General features: G+C 52.4%; 1 protein-coding gene across 58 annotated transcripts in view; it reads right to left on the bottom strand.

The window, feature by feature from the left end:
• Positions 1–25,639, bottom strand: part of RBFOX3 (RNA binding fox-1 homolog 3) — a 576,227-nt gene that overhangs the window by 206,603 nt on the left and 343,985 nt on the right. For 56 of the 58 annotated variants that reach the window (NM_001385807.1, NM_001385838.1, NM_001385842.1 and 53 more), the window contains one exon: positions 11,777–11,877. The gene's annotated coding sequence lies outside the window, so the exon portion shown is untranslated. Of the gene's footprint in view, positions 1–7,136; positions 7,234–11,776; positions 11,878–16,416; positions 16,653–25,639 lie in introns of all 58 variants that reach the window. The other 2 variants (NM_001385845.1, NM_001385821.1) reach the window with 2 other exon arrangements.

The following is a 25,639-nucleotide window of genomic DNA, read 5'->3' on the forward strand; positions in this document are numbered from 1 at the left end:
GAGCCAGCGTCATTCCCAGTGGCCCAGCAGTACTGATGGCCACCTTCATTCTTCCATTTCCCAATTACAACAGGGTGGGGCTGGGCTTGGGGGAGGGGTGTCAAGAAGGGGATAGAAGAGGGCAGGGGAGCAACGGGGTGAATTAGAGACTTTTGTTGCATTTAATATCAATTCATTTTGCAGGCTGCTGACACAGCCAAATTTCACAGCTCTGAATTTGTGGGGCTCCCCAGTGTACAGACGCAAAAGGAAAATACAAAAGAACTTTTTAAAAAATGGCCTGCCATCAGCAAAAAATTAAAAGAAAATTTTAACCCCCACCCCGCAAAAAGGCACAAACAGACACACACACACACACCACACACACACACACACACACACAAAATCTGATTTTGATTTCTTATATGGTTGAGGGACTCATCTCATTACTTAATAATCACATTGTTTGCCAGAGCCGGGCTGTGTTTTGTCGCTCTATGGGCCGACTTTGTTACACCTGCATATAAAAATGACAAGTGTAGTGAGATTGTCAGCAAAAGGGACACACTGAAGAACAGGCACAGTCCCCTGACTGGAGGAGGGTAGCCCCAGTCTAACCCCTCCCCGGGGAGCCGGGCTCCCAGGAAAATGCCCAACGGAAGAGTCCATACCTGGCCTCCAGCCTGGGAGGTTTGCTTCCTCCACACACACCAGCTGTAGACTCTCCCATCTCCCTCCTCTTCCTCCTCCCCTCCCTCCTCCCCTTCCTCCTCTTCCTTTTTTCCTCTTTCTCCTCCTCCTGTCTTCTCCTCTTCTTGTCCTTTCTCCTTCTTTTACTACTCCTCTCTGTCTTTCTCCTCCTCTCCCTCCTCTTTTCCTCCTCCCCACTTCTCCTCCCCTTCTTCCTCCCCCCTCCTCCCCCTCCTCCTGCTTCTCCTCCCTTTCCTTCTCCTCCTCTCCCTCTTCTCCTCTTTTTCCTCCTCCCCATCCCCTCTCTCTCCTCCCCCTCTCCCTCCTCCTCCTCTTCCTCATCCTCTCCTCCTCCCTCTCCTCTTCCTCCTCCCCATCCCCTCTTCTTTCTCCTCCTGCCCCTCCTCTCCCCAGCAGCTCTGGCTTTTTCCTCCTGATCTTGGCCAGTGTCTTGCTCTGTGTGCGTTCATTTTCTTAAAGTGATGCCCAAGGCCCACTACCTGCCTTGTCTGGAGCTTGGCAGAGCCTCCTCTTCTCCGAGCAGCCATGAGTTGGGGACTGGGGTCACATAAAAGCTGAATAAGAATGACTCCCAGCAAACAGCTAACACCCTGGACTCCCATCTAGGGACTTAGTGAGTGCTCCTTCCATGGGCCCCTTGGGATCCAGCCTCCCAGGCAGGCTTATCTATGGCCAAGGTGCCCCTCATGTGAGCTAGCCCTGTGGAGAGCCGTGTGCCTTTGGGAAGCACCAAAGCTGGGGTGCTGCTGCACATCCCGGGCCAGCCCCAAGGGTAACTAGTAGAGCAGGTGAGATTCATCTCTCCCTGGTGACATGGCTTCCTCGGGCCATCCCCCGGTACCACTGAGACCCCTTCCAATCAGCAATCCCAGGGTCCCAGGAGCAGGCTGGGCTCTGGCCTCCAGGAGAAAGAAGCAAAGCTGATGTAGGACAGACACTGGAAATCTGGCCCAGTGCCTGCCACAAAGCAGGTGGCCATAGGCCAGGGCACAGTGTGCCTTTCCCAGGGAGATGGGGGTCAGGCCCAAGTCATGGTTTATTCATAATAAACACAGCCGGCCACACTGACCAGTCCATAGGTCCCAGCCCACTTGGGGGTGGCCCTCAGGAAGTTATGCCCTTGGAATTGGGCCACAGGAGCAGATGGGGTGACTGAGGCACTGGGTGTTTCCCCACCTCACTCCAGCTACTCTTTAGAAATTGTTCTAAACAGTTGAGCAGAAAAGCCTATTTGTCTGACTATACCCAAATGGTCAAATAATAATAATAAAAAAGCCTATGAATTACCAACAACGCGTGTGTCTGGGAAGATGTAACGGGTGGTAGTGTCCCATTCTGGTAGCTTCTCCTTGTGGAGAGTTCGCCATCAAGCAAATACGAAACACATTTGGGTTAAGTCATTGGACTCAGTAGCATCTTAGAGCAAACAGTTAAAGGTAGATATGAGCCAGTTCAGATCTAGCAAGCTCAGGAGCACTGGAGATGTCTTCTGGAAGTCAGAAAAGCATCTGCAGCTACTTTGCAGCACTCCATCGAGCAACACCCCAGGGGAAAGGAGCTATGTCTGCATTTAATGGGCAGTTTATTAAACACCAAATAAGTGCCGGGCACTGTGAAGGCATGGGTGGGGGACAAAAGTAAATTGCAACAAATCTCAGCTTTTAGCTGCTCCCTCCTGGTAGAGAAGAGACTGGAGGCATAGGCTGGCTTCACGATGGGCGAGCACAGAAAGCACAGAGGCGGTGCTGGGAGAGTTGTGGCTAGCTTCTCCGGGAGAGGACACCTGGATTAAATATCAGAAGACAAGCAACCTTTGACTAACAAGGGTTTTCCAGGCCAAGATGCAGCATGACCAAGGGTGCAGCGGTCAACAAGCCAACGCTTCACTTGATGGAGAGGGTCAGGAAGATTCTGCGGCCACCAGGTCGCCAAGTCCATGCTTGGTGGAACACGGCACACCAGGAGAACAGCAGGGCATTGCAGCCCCAGAACCTGCCGAGGAAGCCATCTCAGGCCAGTGATGTGTCAGAAGGTGCCCCCTGAGATCCGAGGGTCATCTCGCCGGCAGGGCCCAGCTGGGGAAGCTGGGGGTCCTACCTCTTGACACTGCCCCCACTTACACACCTTGAGTTTGAGGTGTCAGGGGTGGTAGGAGAGCTGGAGTGGTTTCTCAACAAATGAAGTGGAAGAGGGTGGAGGGCTGTGGTGTGGGCATCACTGCAACATGCCACTGCTGCTGGATGCGAGTGATGTTGACCTTGCTGGCAGGACAAGACAGCAGCAAACAGACTGTGCTGGTGGCACGATCCATCAGGGCTGGGTGGCAGCACCGGGCGGCAGCCTGCTGATGCAAGGCTGGGAGGCGGGAGGGCGCGAGTCTGTAACTGGAGAGGTTTGTTTGGATTCAGCATTGCTGAAATCCTCCCTGGCAGCAGATGCGGCTGGCCTCGGAAATACGGGAGGGACATGGGAAATGAACTAATAAATAAGAGGCCAGGTGTGGTATCTCGGTGCTGGCAAAACAGAGGCCAGAGAGGGTGGGATGTGAGGGCGGGTCCCATTCCTGAAAGTAAACCTGGCAAACCCTGGCCAGCACACCCAGACACAACCCCGGATGGCATCAGGCTCGGTTAGGGGCTGAGTTTTGTCCCCTCAAAATTCCTGTGTTGAAGTCCTAACCACTGGTTCCTTAAAATGGGACTGTACAGGCAGTCCTCTGGATCTTAGAGTTCTGCATCCATGGATTAAACCAACCACAGGTCAAAAGTATTAGAAAAATAAATAAAAATAATGATACAACAATACAAATAACAGAAGTGAAAAAATACAGTGTCATTGCTATTTTCGTGGCATCTACATTGTATGAGGCCTTGTGCGTCACCTAGAGGTGATCTCCAGGGTACTGGAGGATGCACGTGGGTTACATGCAGAGGCTGCGCCATTTCCTACCAGGGGTTTGAGCATCGTCAGATCGTGGGGTTTTTGGAACTAACCCCCTGAGGATACCAACGGACAACTGTGTTTAGAGATATGGACTTTGAAGGGGTAATTTGGTTAAACTGAGTTAATTAGGGTGAGTCTTAATCCAAAGTGACTGTTCTCCTGAAGAGGAGATTAGGACAGACGCAAACAGAGGGATGGCCACATAAGGACATGGAGAAGACGGCGTCTACATGCCAAGGGGAGCAGCCACATCCCTGCCTCCAGCATCTCTGTTTAGCCAGCTTCTCAGTACCCCACACAGGCCTCCAAAGGAATCTGCCGACACTCTTTTTTTTTTTTTTTGAGACAGTGTCTCGCTCTGTGGCCCAGGCTGGAGTGCAGTGGCATGATCTCGGCTCACTGCAACCTCTGCCTCCCGGGTTCCAGTAATTCTCCCAACTCAGCCTCCCGAGTGGCTGGGCTTACAGGCATCTGCCAGCACACCCCCTAACTTTTGTATTTTTAGTAGAGATGGTGTTTTGCCATGTTGGCCAGGCTGGTCTCAAACTCTTGACCTCAGGTGATCCACCCAACTTGTCCTCCAAAAGTGCTGGGATTACAGGCATGAGCCACTGTGCCCGACTCCTGCCAACACCTTGATCTTGGACTTCCAGCCTCCGGAGCCACGAGAGAAGAAATTTCCATTGCTGGGGCCACCCTGTCTGTGCTGTGTTACTGCAGCCCCCAGAAATTGATACGGATCCCAAGCACTCAATATTGCCCTGGGAAGCACCCAGAATCCAGTAGAGATGGGAAGAATCAGAAAGGGAAGTGGGTGATTCCACCCGAAGTGGGGAGATGTGATCCTATTAAATTGCTGCCCTAATTTAAAAAAAATCTCTTTGATTTCTTAATAAAAATGAAATAGAGACATAGACTTTGGGAGAAAACCCTGGAGGAGGGGAGAATCTGTGTGGGTTAAATAAGCTTAAACGTGAACAACAGAAAGATCTACCAGTCAGTCAGTGACAGAACCAGGAGGCTGGGGCAACGTGGACTGGCGTGTTCTTCTGGAACTGATGGAGAGACCATTTCGGATAAAGATGATATTGCTGTGACTATTATTGTTGTTTTGCCTGATGTGATGAACTCCCCAGGGGATCTAGTTTCCAAGCCGACGTTTCGAGACTCTGGGGGACACCCAGACGTGACCCTGTGCCTCTGCACCAGAGACCTTGGTGAGGCACCTGGGGCTGCACTTGTATTTTAAGTTTCTAGAAAAGATGAATGGGTCTTGGGAGAAAATGGACATTCCAGTGTTTCCTTTTCAGAAAATTCTTCCTTAGGTGGCCACAAAGCTTTTATAAACAAAGTCCCAAACAGGGGAGGCATGGATGCCAGGGCTGACGCAGGGCCCTGACTCCGGCCTTGACTTTGGGAGAACATGCCCTTTTTCCTCACCATCACCTCCTGAAATCTTGCGGGCCACCAGATCACCCCTTCCCAGTCACTGCACCTCGGCAGTTTTAACATACGTAGGCCCCAGGGAGAAGCCTCTGGCTAGGAGATGCTCCCCTGCTGGGATGGGCCTGGGAGAGCCTCAGAGGCCACTCTCTGGGTCCCAGCCCATTTAATGTATGGGACTTTCTGGGTCCCAGCCCTTTATGTCAAGAAGGACTTTGCACATGTGGACCAAGCCCTTTAACAGGTCCAGCCCTCTGGGGCTGCGAGTTGTCCATCTGGGCCACACCCGGACTTGGAACCCCACTGGGGTGAGCGGCTAATAGAACACAAAGTCTCCCAGGGTGATGCAGCTCCCATAAGCCTTGTGCAGCACCAGCGGGAACACTGCCTTGGTGGCATGTGTGTTTTCAAGACTGAGACCACAGAGGTGTACTCCAAACATTCTGGCGCTCAGAGTCGCCCTGACAAGGCTCCGGCCCTGCTCACCTAAAGGCCATCCACAGGCCAGTCTCACAGGCTCTGCCTTTATGTGGGAGAAAGCAGGGGAGGAGCACCTCGCTGGAAAGTGAGTTTCCTAGTCAGTCTATCTTCCATCACACAGTGTCAAGACAGTCATGACAATGCAGACCCACCCGCAGCAGCACTACTCCCAGTGGCCAAAAGGGGACAGCAGCCCAGGTGTCCATCAAGGGATGGATGGAGAAGCAGAATGCGGTTCCCCCACCCATACGTTGGAAACTATAGGGCCTTAAAAAGAAAGGAACTCCTGACACAGGCCACAATGTGAATGAGCCCCGAAGATCTTATGCTGAGTGAAATAAGCCAGACTCAAAGGGACAAATACTGTGTGATCCCACTCACGTGAGGTCCCTAGAGTCATCCGATTCACAGAGATGGAACGCAGGATGGAGACTGCTAGGGACTGGGGGAGGGGGTGGTTTCTAAATTGGTGGGGTATTATTTAATGGGGACAGAGTTTCAGCTTTGCAAGATGAAGAGTTCAGGAGACAGAGGGTGGTGATGTTTGCACAACAATGCAAATGCACTTATACCACTGAACTAAAGATGGTCAAGATGTTAGCTTTTGCTCTATGTATTCTAATATAATGAAAAACAAATGTGAACAGACATTTGCACCCACTGAGCTCTCACTGCATGCCGGGCACTGTGCTGATTCCTTCACACAATAAATAAATACCCCTCCCCTTCCATCAGCAGCCCTTCAAGAAGCATATTATTGTCCCATTTCATGGATAAGAAACCAAGGCTTAGAAGTTAAGTACACGATCCAGGATCACTCACTAGTAAGACGGAGCCAGGGTTCCACCCAAATGTTTCTGGTTCCTGGCAAGCACTACAGAAATAGACAGTGTTGGCCAGGTGTGGTGGCTCACACCTGTAATCTCAGCACTTTGGGAGGCCGAGGCGGGTGGATCACCTGAGGTCAGGAATTTGAGACCAGCCTGGCCAACATGGTGAAACCCCTTCTCTACTAAAAATACAAAAAATTAGCTGGGCGTGGTGGCAGTCGCCTGTAATCCCAGCTACTTGGGAGGCTGAAGCAGGAGAATCAGTTGAACCTGGGATTGCGCCATTGCACTCCAGCCTGGGCAACAAGAGCAAAACTCTGTCTCAAAAGAAAAGAAAAAAAATAGATGGTGAAAGAAATGAGTGAGTGAATGAATGAATGATACCAAGTCCCAGGCTTCATATACCATTGAACTTGGCTTGTTTTGCAAAGTTTTTGGTTGGTAGTAGTTGGGATGCCTTTTAAAACAAAATAATATTTAAATTATTCCCAAGTAAGGGGTTTGACTTTGGAGTGATGGAAATGTTTTGGAATTAGACAGAGGTGGTGAATGTACTCAATGCCACTAAGTTGTTCACTTTAAAAGGTCTATTTTGGCTGGAAGCTTACGCCTGTGATCCCAGCACTTTGGGTATGTAAGGCCGGAGGATTTCTCGAGCCCGGGAGTTTGAGGCTGGCTTGGGCAACATAGTGAGACCTCATCTCTACAAAAAAAGATTTACAAAAATTAGATGGTTTTGATGGTGTGCACCTGTGGTCCCAGCTACTTGGGAGGCTGAGGTCGGAGGATCGCTTGGGCCTAGGGGTAGAGGCTGTAGTAAGCCTTAATCACACCACCGTACTCCAGCCTGTGTGACAGAACAAGACCTTGTCTCAAATAGTCCATTTATGCTATGATTTTTAATTCACCAAATTATTTTAGAAATATGTATACCTGAAATTGAATATAAATATACCAGAAATATGTTTACTGATTATGCGGTATATGGTTGCACAAATATACACACAAATGCTTCGCCTGTGGACAGCATCGTCTGAGTGGTCTTGGGGAAGTGGGGGTCTCAGGGGTCTTCAGCTGGATTTGTTAGGGCAAAGATGCTCACCACCTTGTGCCCCCTCAGGTGCGGAGCCTGCAGACTCTAACCTGCAGGCCAGGGATTTGGGTCTCTTTTAAGCCTGATTTTATTAAAAGTCCCCTGAGCATTTTCTCTTCTGAGGTTTGTCTGCTTGCCTCCTGAAATAATAAGTCACATGGGCTAGGGGCACTGACCTGCCCAGACTCATCAACATCTATTTCCCTTTATCTTTTAGAGAGAAATGATAGTTTACTCCCCGAGAATGGTTGCTAGGGGCAGACCATCTGATAAATAGATGTGATTAATAATGAATTAATTAACATCACCTTCCAGCTGACAATGAAGAGAAGCTTCCACACACTAGGTGCACGTACGTGTGTGTATGTACCTGCGTGTGCGGTACACAGTGTGCATGTGTTTGTATGCATGTGTGCATGTCTGCCTGTGTGTGTGTGTGTGTGTGTGTGTGTGCATGTGTGTACTTGGCCACACATGCATCTGGAGGACCTGGGAAAGACCTCCATGAGGGAAGGAACATGAAGCCAGATGCACCACCCGCTATGGAGCTGCCTGCGACTTGGGGTTTTACCCATTATAGGAAGTTAATGCCCCAGGGAGCCCATTTCTCACAGAAGCTCTTTGGAGTGTATGTTTGCAGTCTCCTTTATAATGTGAATAATCATTTTCTAACTCCTGTTTGGAAAATTAATCTTCTAGTTTCTTAGAGTGTAGCATAGAGTTTTGGAAATAGGGTTGGTGGTTAATGCCTGTCTTAGTACTTGCAAACAGGCTTGAGGGACTGGTTATGGTTTTTCTATGCAACAGAATGATATTCAATCATGAAGAATGAGGTTAATAGCAACCTATAAATATGTTCCTGAGAATACTGTCTAGCAACAACAGCAAGTTACAAAACAAAAAATATATATGTATATATATACACACACGTAAATATATAGGTATATATGTACATATATTTGTATATAATGTAAATATATGCATATATGTACATATATATTTTGATATATATGTGTATATATATATAAATATATAGCATGATCCTGCTTTTGCAGAAGGATTTTCATACTCTTATGTGTTAAAAAAAAAACTGCTAGAAGATCACACACATCACACACGCACTGAGGTGTGAGCTGTGGTTATTTCTGGCAGATTGTTACTTCTTCGTTTTTCTTGTCTGTATTTTCCACAAAAACATCTATTGCTTGTGTAATAATAAAAAGATACTGACCTGACTTTAATTGAAAAAGAAAATTATTGATTTTGCTGAAAGTCCCCAGACCCTTCTAACCCCAGGGGAGAAAAGATGATGGGATTAGAATGAAAGAGGATGGAAGTCAAACCCGGGGCCTCTGTTCTTGGTTCCAACTCTAAGATTCTCGGAAGGTGCTGGTGGCTGTTGGGTTATATGAGGGAGAGCTGGCCGTGACACGGGTGCCGTGTTCTCGAGGCAGAGTCTTGCTTACACCTGCTCGTGTCTGTGGGAGAACCAAATCCCTCACCTCCTTCACTTGGCCCCTCCCTCCCACCGCGTCTCACACTGGGGCATTCCATCATTTTCCATGGACGCTATCCTGAGCCCCGTGCTTAGAGGGCCGGGTGGACTCCGCTGTGGCCCTGCTCTCAGAGGATGCTGTTTCAGCAGGGTGGGTGGGCCGCCGCCTGGCCAGGGCAGGAAGCACAGCTCTGGCTATTTTTAGTCAATCATCAACCCCTCCGATGGTGGCCCCAGGTGGCTCAGTTCCTGAAGATCAGGCAGTTGAAGCAGAGCCACTAAAGGGTTCTTGCCTGTGTGGGGGGGAAAGGGAGAGGTGGGGGCAGGGGGCTTGGAACCCTGCGGCCGGCCAAGCCCTGCCGTCATAGCTATTACTGGGATCAGTTTCATCCTGCCTTTCAATCATTATGTTTTTCTTTTCCACCCACCCAACTCCCCAGAACAGAATCAGATAAGAAACCCTAAAAAGGTCCACCAAATAATCAGAAAAATCAAGACGACGCACAGCTGTCCCAGTGGGGCTTGCTGTTTGGTTTCAGAGCCACGTGTTTCCACCTCCATTTCCCAAGGCAGGGCAGAGCCCTGCCCCCTTGTCCGCCTCCTCTGGACAGACCGACATGAAATGGGCTCGGCCGCCCCCTCCAGTGAGCCCCTGAACAGGGGAGAAAGACTTTGGGGAAGTCACGGTCAGATCTTTCTGCCTCTCCTTTGGCCCTGCGTCTTCCTCCCACACAGCCTGTGTGGGCTGGGGTGGGGGCTGTACCAGCTACACAGCTCTGAGCTGAACAAACTCCTGAAAGGGCAGGGAGCCTCCGCTGGGCCATTTTTCAGACTTTAATTGCATTGAGTGAAACTTAAAAAGGACTTTCCGTTTGCTCAGGCTGAATTCCCTCTCCGCTGTGGGCAGGCAGCCTCCCTCCAAGGAGAGCAGAACAACCAGCAGAGAGTGCATAACCTGGCTAACCATCCAGGGCTGACCTGCCGTAGCCTCTAGCGTAGAGCCCTGGGCAGCAGTTGTGCAAGCCAGTGGATGGAGGCTGCCCAGACTCTGCCGTCACTGGCTGCCCTGCTAGAGCTCAGCTAGAGTCGAGTTTCATAAAAGCAGCAGCGTCTACAGTCTGCCTTTATGTCCAGCGGGTGAAAGCCAGAAAGCACAGACGGAATCTAGCCGATAGGGCTCCATGCTCTGCAGAAAACATCCTGACCCGAGGCCTGCAGGCGGCGGCTGCTGCAGCCAGATAACGCCAGCCTGAGCCTCAGCTCTGCCAGTTCCCAGCTGGGTGGCCGTGACCTCCCTGAGCCCTGCTAAGAGCACCCATGCACGGCAATGGCGGAAAATAAACGAGACGGGGCTGTGAGACATCTCCCCGGCCCACGGCACTCAGCAGTGCTAGCTGACAACGCGCCAGGCCAGGGCGGCTCACACGTCCATGCAGAGCGCCAGCCATGGCCCGCACGCGTGTGACTCTCTTGGAATTTGGCTGATCAAAGGAATCAGTGCAACGGAGCCTGCTGCCAGCCTACCCTGGCACACCTGCCCTCAGGAGCGCCCCTCCCCTCCCTGCTTTGTTCCTGGGGCTCCCTTCTCTTACTGTTTCCAACTCAGGCTAAACAATTCCTGCCGCAGCCTCTGAGCCTGGGAGAGGATGAGGGTGGGGTCTTCCTCAGGGGCCATCCCGAGGCCACTTCCTCCCTTTCCCTTCCATGCTGCTGAGTTGGCAGAAGGATGTGAGAGGGTGCAGGCAAGAAGGAAGGTGCCAGAAGGTCCAGGGTGCCCTGCCTACCTCCCTCTCTTGGCTGCCCAGATACCAACAGCCCCACCTGAGCCAACCTCCTAGGCCTCCCGTGCCGGGTGTCCTCCTCCACCCCCAGCTCCACGGGCACCTGGGAGAGCTTTGCCATGCCTGATCCTCAGACCCGCCAGCCTGGGCGTTGGGCCTCTGTCAGGAGGAAGATGAGAGGCTGGGGGAAAAGGGAACCCCTCTCCTGGTCTGGGGCCCGACATCCACGACTCTTGGAGAGTCTGGCCCCAGGCCCTCTGAGGGAGTTTTCTTTGATATTTATTAACCCACTTTCTCTCTTGGCACTCGGAGCAAGGAGGGAAACTCAGCCAAGGCTATTAATAGGCTAAGGCCATCCCTGGGGAGAAGAATGAGCTCATACCTACAGCACAGGTGCCAAGTATAATAAAGGTTTCCGACTCAGGCCTAAATATAGGCTGCGGCCACCTCGGGGCGCGGAAGGAGGGCCTCGCATGAGCAGCGTGTCCGCCCTGTTGCCATCCAGCTGGCCACTTGGGCAAAGCTTTTTGACACCTGTGCCCGGGACGAGCTCCACCGGGAGATCTTGCGGTCACACGGTCCTGTTCCACCCTAGGTCAGCCCCGGTGGGAGCCACCCAGGAGGCAGGGGAGGCGAAATGACATTTCATTTATATTAATGACTCCTGTAAACAGAGAGTTTAATAAAAAGGCAGTGAGGGAATTTATGGGCAACCCAAGGATAATTAAAATTATTTATCTACTTACCTCCCTTGCTTGCTGATCAGTCTATTAATTATCTATTATATACTCGCTGATTTGCATTTTAGTGAAGGGACTGGGGAAGGGCAGGTGAAAAGCACAGAGGAGTTAGGGAACCCCATGGTGGGGACCCTCCTCTCTGCAGACCAAAGCTCCTCCTGCAGACACCCTCACGCATCGTTCCCCATGGCGGTGGGCCACCCTGAGGCCTGGGAGAAGCCCCCATCTGAGAACCAGCTCGGGGGGAGCAGAAAGCATTGCGTAGAGAGGTTGGTTCTTACCTGTTTGCAGAGGGATGGCTCCAGGAGCAGGTTCCCAGCTGGAGGGGCTGCAGACCTGGGAAAATGGTGGCAGAATTTCCTCTGGCTGCTGTGACTTCAAGCTGCATTTCAAAAAGAAAACAAGAGAACAAAACGGTGTTCAATCTCTGAATATCTAGAGTGCATCAGACGCATGCTCTCCCGCACTCTTGATTGAAAATATTACAGGACAGAGTGTCACGGGCACTATGTCTTTTGAACGATACAAACAGGAATGCGTTAGGCTGGGAGAAGCTGTAAGAAGGTGTCCCTGTCCACCACCTCATGGGTAGAAGATGCTCCCAGCTCTGCAGCCCTGGATATTGTAGGTGAGACTCACGGTATCAAAACCGAAGCTGGGGTCAGAGGGGAGAGTGCCAGCAGGTGACGGGGTCAGGCTGGAGTTTGGACTGACGGGGGAATGGCCGAGTCGCCTGTCCCCAAGCCGGGCCCCAGGTCTCTCATGCCAGCAGAGCCTCCTTGGGGATGAATCCTCAGCACCAGGCCCAGCTCCTGGGCGCTGGGCTGCATCCTAGAGGAAATTGTAACGGCCGGCGTGGGTTGAGCAGCCCTCGTGGTTTGTACTTGCAGCCTAGCTAGGCCCTCGATGGGAAGTAAGGCTGTTTTCTCATCAGACCCCATCAGTGTCACCACGAGCAGCTGTGAATTCTCCTTCTTGGTCTTAGGCTTCTCTGGGGTTGACAGTGTGAAGGCCTCTGGCCACCAGGCCTCCCTGCTAGACACTGGGTGGGGGCAACGTCAAGGGGGCACCTGGCTTCTGCCTCTTAGCGGCTCACTCTGCCGATCTGTGTTGGCTGTGAGCAGGGACTGAGTCTGCCATGGTCCGAGTGTTTCTGTTCCCTCAAAGGCCAAATGTGATGGTATTTGAAGGTGGGGCCTTTGGTGGGGGTCATAAAGTCATGAGGGTGGGGCTGTCTGAATGCGATGAGTGCCTTCATAAGAGTGTCTGTCTCTCTCTCTCTCCTCTCTCTCCACCCACCCACCCCCAACCCCCAGTGACAATACACCAGATCTGCTGGCACCTGGATCTTGGATTTCCCAGTCTCCACAACTGTAAGAAGTAATTGTTTGTTGGACCGGGTGTGGTGGCTCATGCCTGTAATCCCAGCACTTTGGGAAGCCGAGGCGGGGGGATCACTTGAGGCCAAGAGTTCAAGACCAGTCTGACGAACATGGTGAAACCCCATCTCTACTAAAAATACAAAAGTTAGCTGAGTGTGGTGAGTCCTAGCTACCAGGGAGTCTGAGACAAGAGAATTGCTTGAACCTGGGAGGCAGAGATTGCAGCGAGCTGAGATCACACCACCGCACTCCAGCCTGGACAACAGAGCAAGACTCTGTCTCAAAAAAAAAAAAAACTAAATGTTTGTTGTTTAAGCCACCCAGTGTATGACATCTTGTTATAGCAGCCCCAGCCCACTAAGACAGAGCCTCACGTGGCTTGTATTCCTCAAAGCACCTGAGAGTAGATTTTGCACAGGAAGGAGGAAGGCAGACAGGGCAGGAAGGGGGTGTCACATGATTGGGGTCTCCGCTGAAACTTTGGACTCTTCCTCCCTCCACCTCTCCTGAGCCTTCCTCTCCCACCCCGTGGCTCTGGCCCCGTGGGCACTGCCCCATCCCCTGCATGTGCCCCGCCCCCTCCTGCTGCTTCTCACACCTGCTCCTTGCTCCCTCTGCCCCACCCATGGGGGCCTTCTGGTTGGATTTGACCTCAGGGTCCTTGCACATGTTGTCCCCTCCTCCAGGTGTTGGGTGACATCTGCATGTTCAGGCCTCCCCTTGGAGAAGCCCCCAACCATCGTATGGGAAGCCCCCTCCCCATCACCTGCCGCATCTACTCATGGCCTGTCGCATCATAATGTGGCTTGACTCTGTGTCCCCACCCAAGTCTCATCTGGAATTGTAATCCCCATGTGTTGAGGGAGGGACCTGGTGGGAGGTAACTGGATCATGGCGGCAGTTTCCCCCATGCTGTTCTTGTGATGGTGAGTGAGTTCTCGTGAGAGCTGATGGTTTAAAAGTGGTTGGCAGTTCCCCCCTCACTCTCATCTCCCGCCACCATGTAAGACGCACCTCACTTCCCCTTCGCCTTCCGCCACGATTGTAAGTTCCCCAGACATGAGGAACGGTGAGTCAGTGAAAGCTCTTTCCTTTATAAGTTACCCAGTCTCAGGTAGTTCTTTATACCCCACAGTCATAAAGTAGTGCCATCATTGTCTTCATTTGTGCACAACGCCCTAAAACGGAAGTTTCCCGAGGACACGTGGAGCTGCTGCGTGGTCTCCATACCGGAGCAGGGCCTGGCAAGCCGCAGGTGCTCAGGGAATGAGGAATGAGGGATGAATGTGTGAATGCACAGCTACCCCGGACGCGGTGTTCCAACTCCTATTTGCATTCCCTGCCCGCAGCATGGCCTCCATAGCATGCATTCCCCAACCTGCCCCTAGAGTAGATTTTTAAAGCACAAAGTTGTTTAAAATCCCTTGAAGCTTCCCTGAAGGCCTGGGGGTTAAGTCCAGATTCCTGAGCCTGGGGGTCCAGGCCCTTCACAGTCAGTTTTACTTCCTTCCCAGGGTCCTCTCCCCATGACTGGTGCAAACCTCAGCCCTGCCAGCCTGCCCAGACCAGGGCGAGACCTCCTCTGTGTCCCCAGAGCAATCTGTCACCAAGCTCGAGGTTCCTGTAGACTTTTTTCTGCACTCCTCCCAGTAGAGGCTCCCATGGGCCCCTCCCACCCCTCTCTTTTCTCTCCTACCTGCTCCCCAGCCCCGTCCTGCTTCTAGGACAGTCAGCAGTGGCTGCCCATTTCCCCACTGCTGAGGGTCCTGTCCTGTCGGCGAGGTGGAGCTCCTGCAGGCTCACAGAGGAGAAGGACCTCCACCCTCCTCCCGCATTCCCCAGCCTCTGCCCGGGCCCTTCTGTGGAGGGAGCACCGCTCTGTTGCTCACCGATGGCACAGACAAGTCACCCCCAGCGCTGCCTCGGCATTAAACATCTAATGCAAGTTAGGAGCCCATTTTCCATAACACACAGAAACATTGCTGTTTCCAGGAGTTCACTGCCCTCTAGGCCCATCCATTGAACCCTGGTCATCAGCTCTTGGGGTCTCGGGGCATCTGATGGTCAGTGTTATGCGTCCACTTGGCCAGGCTCTCGTCCCCTGGGATTCAGTCCAGCACGTACCTAGGTGTTGCTGGGGTGGTACTTGGTAAGTGTGGCTAATGCCTAAAATGAATTGATTTCAGCACAGGATATGGCCTTTCTTAATGTGGGTGGGTGGGCTTCATCCAGTCAGTCGAAAGGCTTCATCCGGTCAGTTAAAAGGCCTTAACAGCAAAAACTAAGGTTCCCTGGGGAAAACATTCTGCCTCAAGACCGCAGCACCAGCTGGGCGCAGTGGCTCACGCCTATAATCCCAGCACTTTGGGAGGCCGAGGCGGGTAGATCACCTGAGGTCAGGAGTTCAACACCAGCCTGGCCAACATGTCAAAACCCCATCTCTATTAAAAATACAAAAATTAGCTAGGCATGTTGGTGGGCACCTGTAGTTCCAGCTACCCAGGAGGCTGAGGCAGGAGAATCACTCGAACCTGGGAGGCAGAGGTTGCAGTGAGCCAAGATCACACCATTGCACTCCAGCCTGGGTAAGAAGAGCGAGACTCCATCTCCAAAAAAAAAAAAAAAAAAAACAGACTGCAGCACCAATTCCTGCCTGAGGTTCCAGCCTGTCCACCCATCCTACAGAGTTCAGATTCGGCAGCCTTCGCAATAACATGACCTAATTCCTTAAAATCTGTCTGTCCTATCTGTCAATCAATCAATAATCAATCAATCAATCATCTACCTACCTACCTAGGTCCTGTTGACTTTGTTTACCTGGAGAACTCTGAGTCAGGCCCTCTGGGGTCTCTCGCAGGTTGGGCTCCTGGAGCTGACTCTGTCCATCAACAGAACCAGACATCCCACCTCCCCATGCTCTGCCCAGCATGCAGTTCTGGCTGGTGGAGTGGGAAGCAGTGCCCCCATGATGGCAGAAACGGGGAACAGGAAGGAGGCAGCCCAAAGCCTCATGTCTGCTTGGGGGCAAGGACAGCATTCTCACGAACCTGGAACAAACCGGCCCTCCTGAATGTAAGGTCAGGCGCGGCTGTGATGAGGACAACCCAGGTGCCAGCTTCAGCTCGGGCCTGAAAATCCCTCCCCGTCAGAGCTGACATTTCAGGACAGGCATCTGCCCTCTCCCTTCTCCTCCCCCTTCCTGACTATCATTTCTCAATTCTGATGATGTATCAATAACTGCAAAGCAAAATGCCACAGTTAGCAGCGCTACCGTACTGTAACTAATCGTTTTCTGAATCAATTCTCAGGGTTGTGTGTGCACAACGAGGTGGGGCTGCATCTCCAAAGCCTCTGCAGCCTCCAGGAATTAGGCACACCAGGAGAAGTTTCAGGAGACAAAGAAGAGGGCTGGGAAGAAAAAGGGAGCAGGCAGGGGAGAGACAAGGAAAACAGCAGATTAAGAAAAAAAAAAAAAGAGGGCGAAGGGAGATTCTCAACAAGACAGAGAGCCGGTGGCAGCAAGCCATGGCCTGACCCACCTTTCTAGGGTGCAGCAGAGATGAGGAAGGGGCTGTGGTCTGAGCACTTTTGATGGGATGAGGTGTGGTAGGCAGGAGGCAGGCCACCAGATGCACTGTGAGGGCAGGAGCATGAGTCTGCCAGGCGCTGTCCTGTGCTCTCGGAATGTCTGAGTGAGGATACTAGGCCAGACCAGACCAGGGTCCCCAAGGTGGGGGCAGGTGGTGGGGCTGGCTGTCAGGTGACAGGTGCCTTCCTGGGAAGGGGACACAGGGGAGAGGGCAGACTGCTGTACACCCACCTGTTCCAAGCAGTAAGAAAGACTCAGGCCCAGGAAACCCTCCAGCTCCTTCATGCACATAAAAAGACCTCAGGGGTCTCTGGAGTTCATGCACTTAAGATTTTATTGGCTTAATAAACTGTGCTGCTGCTGCCCGCAGGTCTTCCTTGGCCTGAGCACATGTGAGGATGGAGGGGCAGCTCTCTGTAGCTGCTGTAATCTCCTCGAGGGGGAGAGAGCTGGCAGGAGTGGGAGAGAAAGGACAGGCAGCTTAGACAGGGCTGCAGGGCCACAGTGGGACCGAGGGAAGCCCTTTCTGCAGTATAACTCATTAACCCTTCCAGTGACCCTAGGAGGAAGCTGAGATGTAGGATGCTGGGAGAGTCTACTCCAAGGCATACAGCCTGCATGCTGGCAGAGCTGGGACCCAAACCCAGGGCATCTGGCTCAAGAGCTCAGCGCGGCACCTCTACATTGCTCTTGCTCTCACTAAGGTCAGCCAGCTGCAGACTCAGTTTCCCCATCTGTAATGTGAACTCTTTAATAGCTGCCCCCCTTGCTTCTGGCACCTTCCAGGCTCTTGCATACCCCACTGGGGTGGGAATTATCAAAGGGGTAGGGCAGGCAGGGCTGGGGGAGGCTCGACCTGGCTCCAGGGGCTTTCTTAGTGAAGTGCCAAAGATGGGATGGATGTCCTCACAAACGTCCAGAGCACGGACCTCCCAGTGAAGCACAGTGAATATAGCAGCCTGGGTCCATGCCTCACTTCTTCACTCACTCATTCATGTACTCATTCATTTAGTCAAGCTGTGCTGGGCCTGTTTACCTGTTTCCACCCTGAGGTCTCACCCCAGACCCCCCTGCAGGTCCCAGGCCCAACCATCCAGGGCTCTGGTCAGTGTAGGGGAGCAGCCACAGAACCCCTACAATCCTGACGAGAGTCCAGTAACACACTCAGGGGAGCAAGGGAGAGATGGGCGGGGCGGGACCTCATCTTTTCTTCCTGGAGATAAAGTGAGGCCAGGCCAGGCCTGTGCTCCGTCATGGGTACCCCTTGCTCAGAGCCTCCCCTTCCCACCCCCAGATCCTTGGGGGCTGTGGCTTCAGCCCCGACCTCCCAGCAAGGCTCCTGGGGCAGCAGCATCTCTGCCTCGGGGTGGGGGGCCGCTTGCTCCCAAGTTTCAGAGCCCAGGTCTTGAGCCCACCACAACCCCCACAAGACAAGAGGCTCCCCTGCTTGTCCTCCCACCTCCAGGAGCTACTGTGGGGCTGCACCAAATACCTTCAGCCTCTGAAAAGAGGGAGGCTGTTCATCCTCACTTGCATGTCCGGCTCTTGCCCGCAACTGCTGGGAGGGTCCTGCAAACTGGCCTGGGGGCTCAGGTAGCCAGGTGGCCTCAGAGGGCAGCGAGTGGTCACAGCCCCCACATGGTGTTTCAGTCACAGGCTCATGATCATTCATGGAGGGGGCTACAGACAATGGGGTCTAACAAGAAAGCCCAAAAGTTTCTGAATGGGTCACTCTTGTTGTTTTTTTACTAAAAGGGCTTTACGTTTTGCTCTAAATCTTTCTGAGGTGCAGGCTGCTTTCCCGAGTGACAAAGTAGGAGCTGGGGTAACCATGGCTCCCTGGGAGTGTGCAGGACCCCCAAACCTGCTGAGAAGCAGAGGAGAGAGGCATGGCAGTCAGGCAGCTCCAACAAACACAACACACCAGAGCTGGGCTCTCTCGTGGGCACAGTGAGAACGATCGGCCTCAGCATCAGTGATGCTGGGAGGAGACTGAGATCGCATACGGAGCTGGTGGGATAGGCAGGTGCAGATGGCCTCGCAGGACCTGGACAAGATCGGCCACTCACAGCCAGGTCCACGCCTGAGACAGGAGACAGCCACCAAGACTCTCACTCGGCATTCTCTGAAATAGCTGCACTTTGCAAACCACTGGGAGTTTCATGAATGAAAGAGTGGACAAAGAAAATGGGGCAGGTTTCTAAGTCAGATTCTCCACAGTAGATAAAAGGAACGTATCAGAAACACACCAGAGCTGCAGAAACCATGTTCAGTCAAAGAGGTGAGTTGCAGGAAGAGGCCATGCATGTGCATTTGAAGAAGACATAAAACAGTGTGAGCTCTGGTCCACGCTTACATGTGTGTATAAATGTTTTTCTCAAGGGACAGAAATAATAGATGCCAAATCGATGCTCAGAGCGGCCTCTGGGTGTAGGGGAGGGGAACGGGGCTGGGTGTGCTGGAGGGGACTTGGACTTTGTCTGTGATCCTTCCTTTTTTTTTTTTTTTTAAGACTAATGCAAGAGAACAAAGTGTTAGTTATTGTTAATTGCAGGTAGAGGAGGATAGATATTTATCTTTTACCTTAATTATAAAAATTCTCCAAAAATTTTTTGAGACGAGCATGGTTAGATTGATGGCCCGCTGCAGGAGTGAGAGACCCTGATTATACATGCGTGACACAAAGCTGGTGTCAAAGCACAGTGTTTTCTATGATTAGTGGCTCTGTAGAATCTCACCGGCTGGTGGCCTGACGACCAAGTAAATGGATGACGTACACGATGGAGTGATTCCGGAGGGAGCCACTTCCCAAGAGGAAGTAAAACCATTTCATCCCTAGTGATGGCCTCCAGACTCTAGACCATCCATGTCTCCAGGAGGTAGGCTCCCCTGCATCCTTCTCTCTGGGGACCCAGACCCTGGTCTTCTGAGCAAAGCATTCTCCATACCGAGAAGGAGGCCAGAAAGTGCTGGATGCAGAGGCGGCTTTTCCCTCTTCTCACACCACCATCTGCAGGCCGACAAGGAAGTCAGAGGGGACGTGAAAAGAGCCACCTCTCCCATCCCCCGACAGATGGGACCCGCAGGGGTAGGGGAAGAGCGGTGTCTCCCAGGCCGCGCCTTCACACTTGCTGGCCACTGCGGCCAGACAGATGTGCACCCTGGTCCTTGCTTTGATCTCACACGGTTACACTTTCAGTGTTACAAGCTCATAAAAGCCACGTGATCAAATTCCAGGTCATTACTCAAGGAAAGGGACCCCTCTGTGGTCGACAGCGACAGTTTCAAACCAATTAAAATAAGCCTGGCGTTTCTGCGGGCTGCCGCCCGTGCCGCCACCCTGGGGGTCTCTGAGGGCCTTGCTTGCAATGAGCAAGATGCAGGAAATGTTAATGGAGACGCTTAAATGGCGCGCCGAGGGGATTCTGGTAAATAAGGCCACGCGGAAGGGGCTGGGGAGAGGCCTCCCGAGCTAACCCTGGAGGAAACTTCAATAAACACGAGATTGGATTGGAAACAATTCACTCCGCAAGGGGTGGGTCCGCCAGCAGCTCTGGGAGGGGTCTTTGGGGGAGGAAAGCTATTTCATTCCCTATTAGTTCCCCTTTGCAAGTATCTGTGCCCCCTGCTGCTGGCACTGGAATCTGCCAAGGCTCGACAGCACCCACTGAGCAGGCTGGGAGCACCAGGGTATAATTTGCCAAGTAAAAATTGGAGAGGGCGGGAGAGGCTGCGCGGAAGAGGAGAAGGGGTGGCTGGTGATGGTGGAGGGTGGAGGGGCTGGGGCTGAGGACGAGGCCATGCAGTGGCTTTGTGACTGTCTGGCAGGTGCTCTGAACTCTGCAGGATCCTGTTTCGGGAAGATCGAACGTCACCCATGAAACAAACAGAGAAGTTTCCAGAGAACACCACCCCAAGCCCAGGCCAGCATGTAGATGGGGCCAGGCCAGCAGGCTGTGGTCGGTGCTGTCCAGCTCAGTACAGACTCAGGGCCCACCTGAGTTGTGGGCAGCCCTCCTTGGGCAGGGGCGATGGCTCCCACCTCTGCTCCCAGCCAGGGACTGTTACTCAGGATGTGGGCAGCTCGTCGCTCTGCTCAATGCAATGGAAGGAGCTCCAAACGTGAGAAAGGGAAGGGAGGTCTTGAGCAAAATGAGGAGCCTGGGCCACACAGCCTGTGTCCTTCCTCCCAGAGCCCCTCCCCACAAGGCCACCACGGCCCCAGACCCCTGCACATCTGCTTTTGTGGGCCTAATCTTACAGCCGAAATAGCAAACCTCATTCCAGTGACAGTTTCCACATTTAGGAAATAAAACCCCTGGATATGCAGTTAAATTAGAAATTTCAGATAACAGATAATGTTTTCATTGTTTTAGTATAAGTTCATACCATGCAATATTTGGGAAGTACTTATATTAATTTTTCATTGCTTATCTGATATTCACATTTAACCAGTCACCCTGTGTTTTTATTTGGCAGCCCTAGCTTCCAACTGCCTGATTACCCAGGCTAAACACACACAGGTGCACATATGCCTGCACACAAGATATGCACACTCACCCGCAAATGTGCATGTGCACGCACACACACAGATGTGCACGGACACGTGCACATACACATCCTTCAAAGAAAGGAGCTGACCCTCCATGAAGACCGACAAGGAGCTGGCATTTCCCATATGCTCCCTCATGGAACACTCCTCCCATCTCCCCCACGGCCACCCCCCTCATTCAGACAAAGAGGTGCAGGCTCCAATTGCCACTTTCTCAAGGCCACACAGTCAGCATATGGCCCGGCTGAAATTGCAGACCCAGTTCATTCGTATTCCAAAGTCTGCACTCTTTCCACCAAACCAGACCCAATACATCAAATTTTAGATGTTTCTTTTCAAACAGAACGGCCATAAGGAAGTTGCTATTGATTCTGCAGTCAGGCCAATGGCCTTGGCTCAGACCCACACGGACCTCAGAACAAAGACGCAGATTTGAGCTGGTGAAGCCCCCACGGGTTCAGCCTCACCAGGGTTCACCTGTGGGGCTCAGGGTGAGCACATCTGGCTTCCACACAGAGGCTGGTGGTTTGGGTCCACCCTGGAGGGTTCTGCTGGCAATTGAGTCCTGAGCAGGCACTGGCAGCAGCACCGATGCCCGTGGCAGGGCCTTCTAGTGAAGGGGATGTTTCTCCCCTGGACGTGGTCTCAAACTCAAAGGGGACAAACACAGACTTGAAATTGTCTGCAAATTGGCAAGGAATCCCTAAACTCTGGCTTCCACTAATTAACTAGCTGCTTTCCAGGTAACTAGTAGGTACTTTAGGCACTTGTTATGTAAGAATCACAATCTTAAAAAAAAAAAAGTTGCAATGTTCGATGAGGCCATGGTGAACCTAAGGGTGCCACCTTGTCTACCTGGGCCATCACTCGGCAGGCAAAGAGATTCGATCTGGCTGGCAAATCTTGTTCTTTATGTGAGCAGGACAATTCTCAAGTAACATGCTAACTTCCCTATCTTGAGTTGTCGGTTTCATGATTATTTTTCTAGGAATGGAAGTTAAGCTTGCCGCTTCATCATTTCTAGAAATGTCTTTACCCCCTTTAAAAAAACTGTCTGTGGATTGGGAAAAACCTCCAGCCCCTTGTTACTCAGGCCTCATCTCCTAAACTGCCTGGCTGCTGCTGACAAAGTTGCTGAGTAGACAGAGCTTACAACTGGGGAGGTGTCAGCCGGAGCCCTTGCCATGGTGATGGCTGATTCCTATCATGAGTGGAACAGGAGCATTTTGGGCCTGAAGATCTGGATGCTCCGGGTGGTGTTTGCTCAGCCAGCAGCCAAGAAGTCCAGCAAGGAGGGAAGAGGAGAAGGAGGTCTGTGTGCTTCACCCAAAACTCCAGCACGGAGGATGCTGCTGAGCCAAAACCCAGGAGATGAAACTGCTGGGGGCAGAGGAGCTGGGGAGGTCTGGGAAATACAAACAGCAGCAAATCTCCCCACTTTATCTTCATAGCCACCACCCCTTACACCATATGGCTCCCCCTCTCAGCAATGCAGTTGAGCAACGGTCTCAGCCATACCATAGTGGTGAGGGTTTCATGATTTGCCTAATGAGAGGTCTTACTGGCAAATTTCATACTAAGAGTTGGATGTTGAAATTTGACTGTGGGGCCACGTGCGGTGGCTCATGCCTGTAATCCCAGCACATTGGGAGGCTGAGGCAGGTGGATCACGAGGTCAGGAGATCTAGACCATCCTGGCTAACACGGCGAAACCCTGTCTCTACTAAAATTACAAAAAAATTAGCTGAGTGTGGTGGTGGGCGCCTGCAGTCCCGGCTACTTGGAAGGCTGAGGCAGGAGAATGGTGTGAACCCGGGAGGCAAAGTTTGCAGTGAGCCGAGATTGCGCCACTGCACTCCAGCCTGGGTGACAGAGCGAGACTCCATCTCAAAAAAAAAAAAAAAAAAAAAAAAAAGGGATGGAGGGAGGGATAGCATTTGGAGATATACCTAATGTTAAATGATGAGTTACTGGGTGCAGCACACCAACATGGCACATGTATACATATGTAACTAACCTGCACGTTGTGCATATGTACCCAAAAACTTAAAGTACAATAATTAAAAAAAAAAAGAAATTTGACTGTGGAAGGAGGGAAGACATGAGGGTGGGCGGAGGGAAAGGAAGCCAGCACCGGATGTGGCTTTCCCGGAGGCAGCCCACTGGAAAAGCGGATTTCATTATAGTCAGGTGGTTGTTTTTTAGGTCACCTACTTCCCAGACGGTTTTTCCTGCTTTTCTTTCCTGTTACAAAGTTTTGACATATTGGAGCCGGGAAGGAAGAAAAGTCGCACTGTATCACCAAGAAGTAGGGGACCCAGGGGCTCAGTGATCCACAGCAGAAAGGAAGAGGCGAGGAAGGTAGGAGATGCAGAGAAAGGAAAGAGGCAGAACGGGGGCTCCTGCAAGTGCGGAGATGAAGCCCTGTCCCAGGAGGTCCCACTTGGGCTGCCGGAGTGGTGATGACCCAGGGCTCGGCCTACTTTCAGCCTGAGAATCCTGAGAGAACCCCCTCCAAGAGCAGCCTGGGCAGATTGGTCTTGTCTGGGCTGCTGGTCTTGTCTGGGCTGCTGGGCTATGTCTGGGCTGCTGGTCTTGTATGGGCTGCTGGGCCAGCTGTTCTTATCCTGGCTGCTGGTCTTGTCCGGGCTGCTGGTCTTGTCTGGGCTGCTGGTCTTGTCTGGGCTGCTGGGCTATGTCTGGGCTGCTGGGCTATATCTGGGCTGCTGGTCTTGTATGGGCTGCTGGGCCAGCTGTTCTTGTCCAGGCTGCTGGTCTTGTCTGGGCTGCTGGTCCTGTCTGGGCTGCTGGTCTATGTCTGGGCTGTTGGTCCTGTCTGGGCTGTTGGTCTTGTCCAGGCTGCTGGTCTTGTCCGGGCTGCTAGTCTTGCCTGGGCTGCTGGTCCTGTCTGGGCTGCTGGTCCTTTCTGGGCTGCTGGTCTATGTCTGGGCTGCTGGTCTATGTCTGGGCTGTTGGTCTTGTCCAGGCTGCTGGTCTTGTCCGGGCTGCTGGTCTTGCCTGGGCTGCTGGTCCTGTCTGGGCTGCTGGTCCTTTCTGGGCTGCTGGTCTATGTCTGGGCTGTTGGTCTTGTCCAGGCTGCTGGTCTTCTCTGGGCTGCTGGTCTTCTCTGGGCCAGCTTATCTTCTTTGGTGGCATGTGGGAGGCTTGAGTGGCTGGTGTCTCCTGAGACTAGAGACCTTTCCAGAAGGCTGTGGTGGACTTGCTTCCTGACCACTGCTGGTGTGTCTCCTGGAGGGAGTGACTGGAATTCACTCCTGCATGGAGCCGCTCTTGGTGCTGACCCTGATCCCAAGCCACCAGAGGGACCTCCCAGGACCAGAGGGGCATTGCTGGCAGTCCAGACCCCTACCAGTGCTGGCAGCCTCTGCCAGAGACAGATCTGAACACCTTGGCCATGCAGCAGGATCCCACGTCGTGCCACTTGGGGCACAGACTGGAGAATGCCCATCTGGTCATTTCCTGCCTTCAGGCAGTAGCCCTCATTAACAGCTTTTGGTTCTGTGAGGATCAGTGCTATTTTAAACACTTCCCAGCAGGGAAATCCGTATACCTGCCCTCCCTTGGCAAACCCTGCCCATATCTAACCAGCTCTACTGCCAGAATGAGTTCTTCCTCCCATCCCTCCAAAATCCTTTGCAACGAAACCACGAGTCTGTCCCCACATTCTGTTTGGAGAGTGGCTGCTCACCACCCTCTGGGCGTTGCCAATAGAGCCCTCAACTAAAACCAGGCACCTCAACGCAGGAGCCCTGCCCGCCTGCTCTCGGTGTGAGTCTGTCTTCCCCCTAAAACCTTGGAGCAGAACTGCCACTGTTTGCAGCAAAAACAACTTTGAGGTGCTGTTCTAGGTCTCAGAATCAGAGTCCGTCTGTCACCATCGCTAACAGGTAGGGGGAAAACAGATTATTCAGCCTCCTGAGAAGCCACCTTCCCTGCACATTCAGAGTCCGGCACATTCTGCCAAAAGCTCCCGTCACAGCAACACTGGATCCTAAATGTAACTGGTGGTTCCACCTGGAGCCATTCACAGAGGCCCAAGGGTCCCAACAGAGCAGATCCTAGAGGCCCCCGTGCCACTGCCAATATCCATGTGCCACGAGGCAGCTCAGTGATTGGATTGGTGGCCTTTATGTTGCAGATTGAGATGGTCTAAAGCACAGGTCAGATGAGAACTGCAATGGGCTCAAAGACCATGCAGGAGCCCAGGGCATAGGGACACCACAGTCTTCTATGGGCTCATTTCCCTTCTACAACGTACAGTGATGCTGGGGTCTCTACCTCATGTCTTCCCTGTGTCTGCACCAACTTCTCAGTGTCAGGGAAAGAAAAAGAACAGAAAATCAGGACACTCTTGCAATGGCAGCAGGACGTAGAGAGGCTATGGCAGCCAGGTCCCTGAGCTAAACGTTCAGCTAGACCCCTCCAGGTCCGGCCCCAACACGCCCACTCCTAACTGGAGCCGAGACACAGAAGCCCTTCTGAGCATGACACAGAAACACAGACATCTAATTTTCCCATGGAGCGCAGGTGAGAAAGTTCTCATCCAAACGGTGGTGATGTGGGAGCTCTACCATCGCCAGTGTCCTAGCAGACAAGAGAG

The sequence above is a fragment of the Homo sapiens genome, chromosome 17 (assembly GCF_000001405.40).
Source record: "Homo sapiens chromosome 17, GRCh38.p14 Primary Assembly".
NCBI lineage: Eukaryota > Metazoa > Chordata > Mammalia > Primates > Hominidae > Homo > Homo sapiens.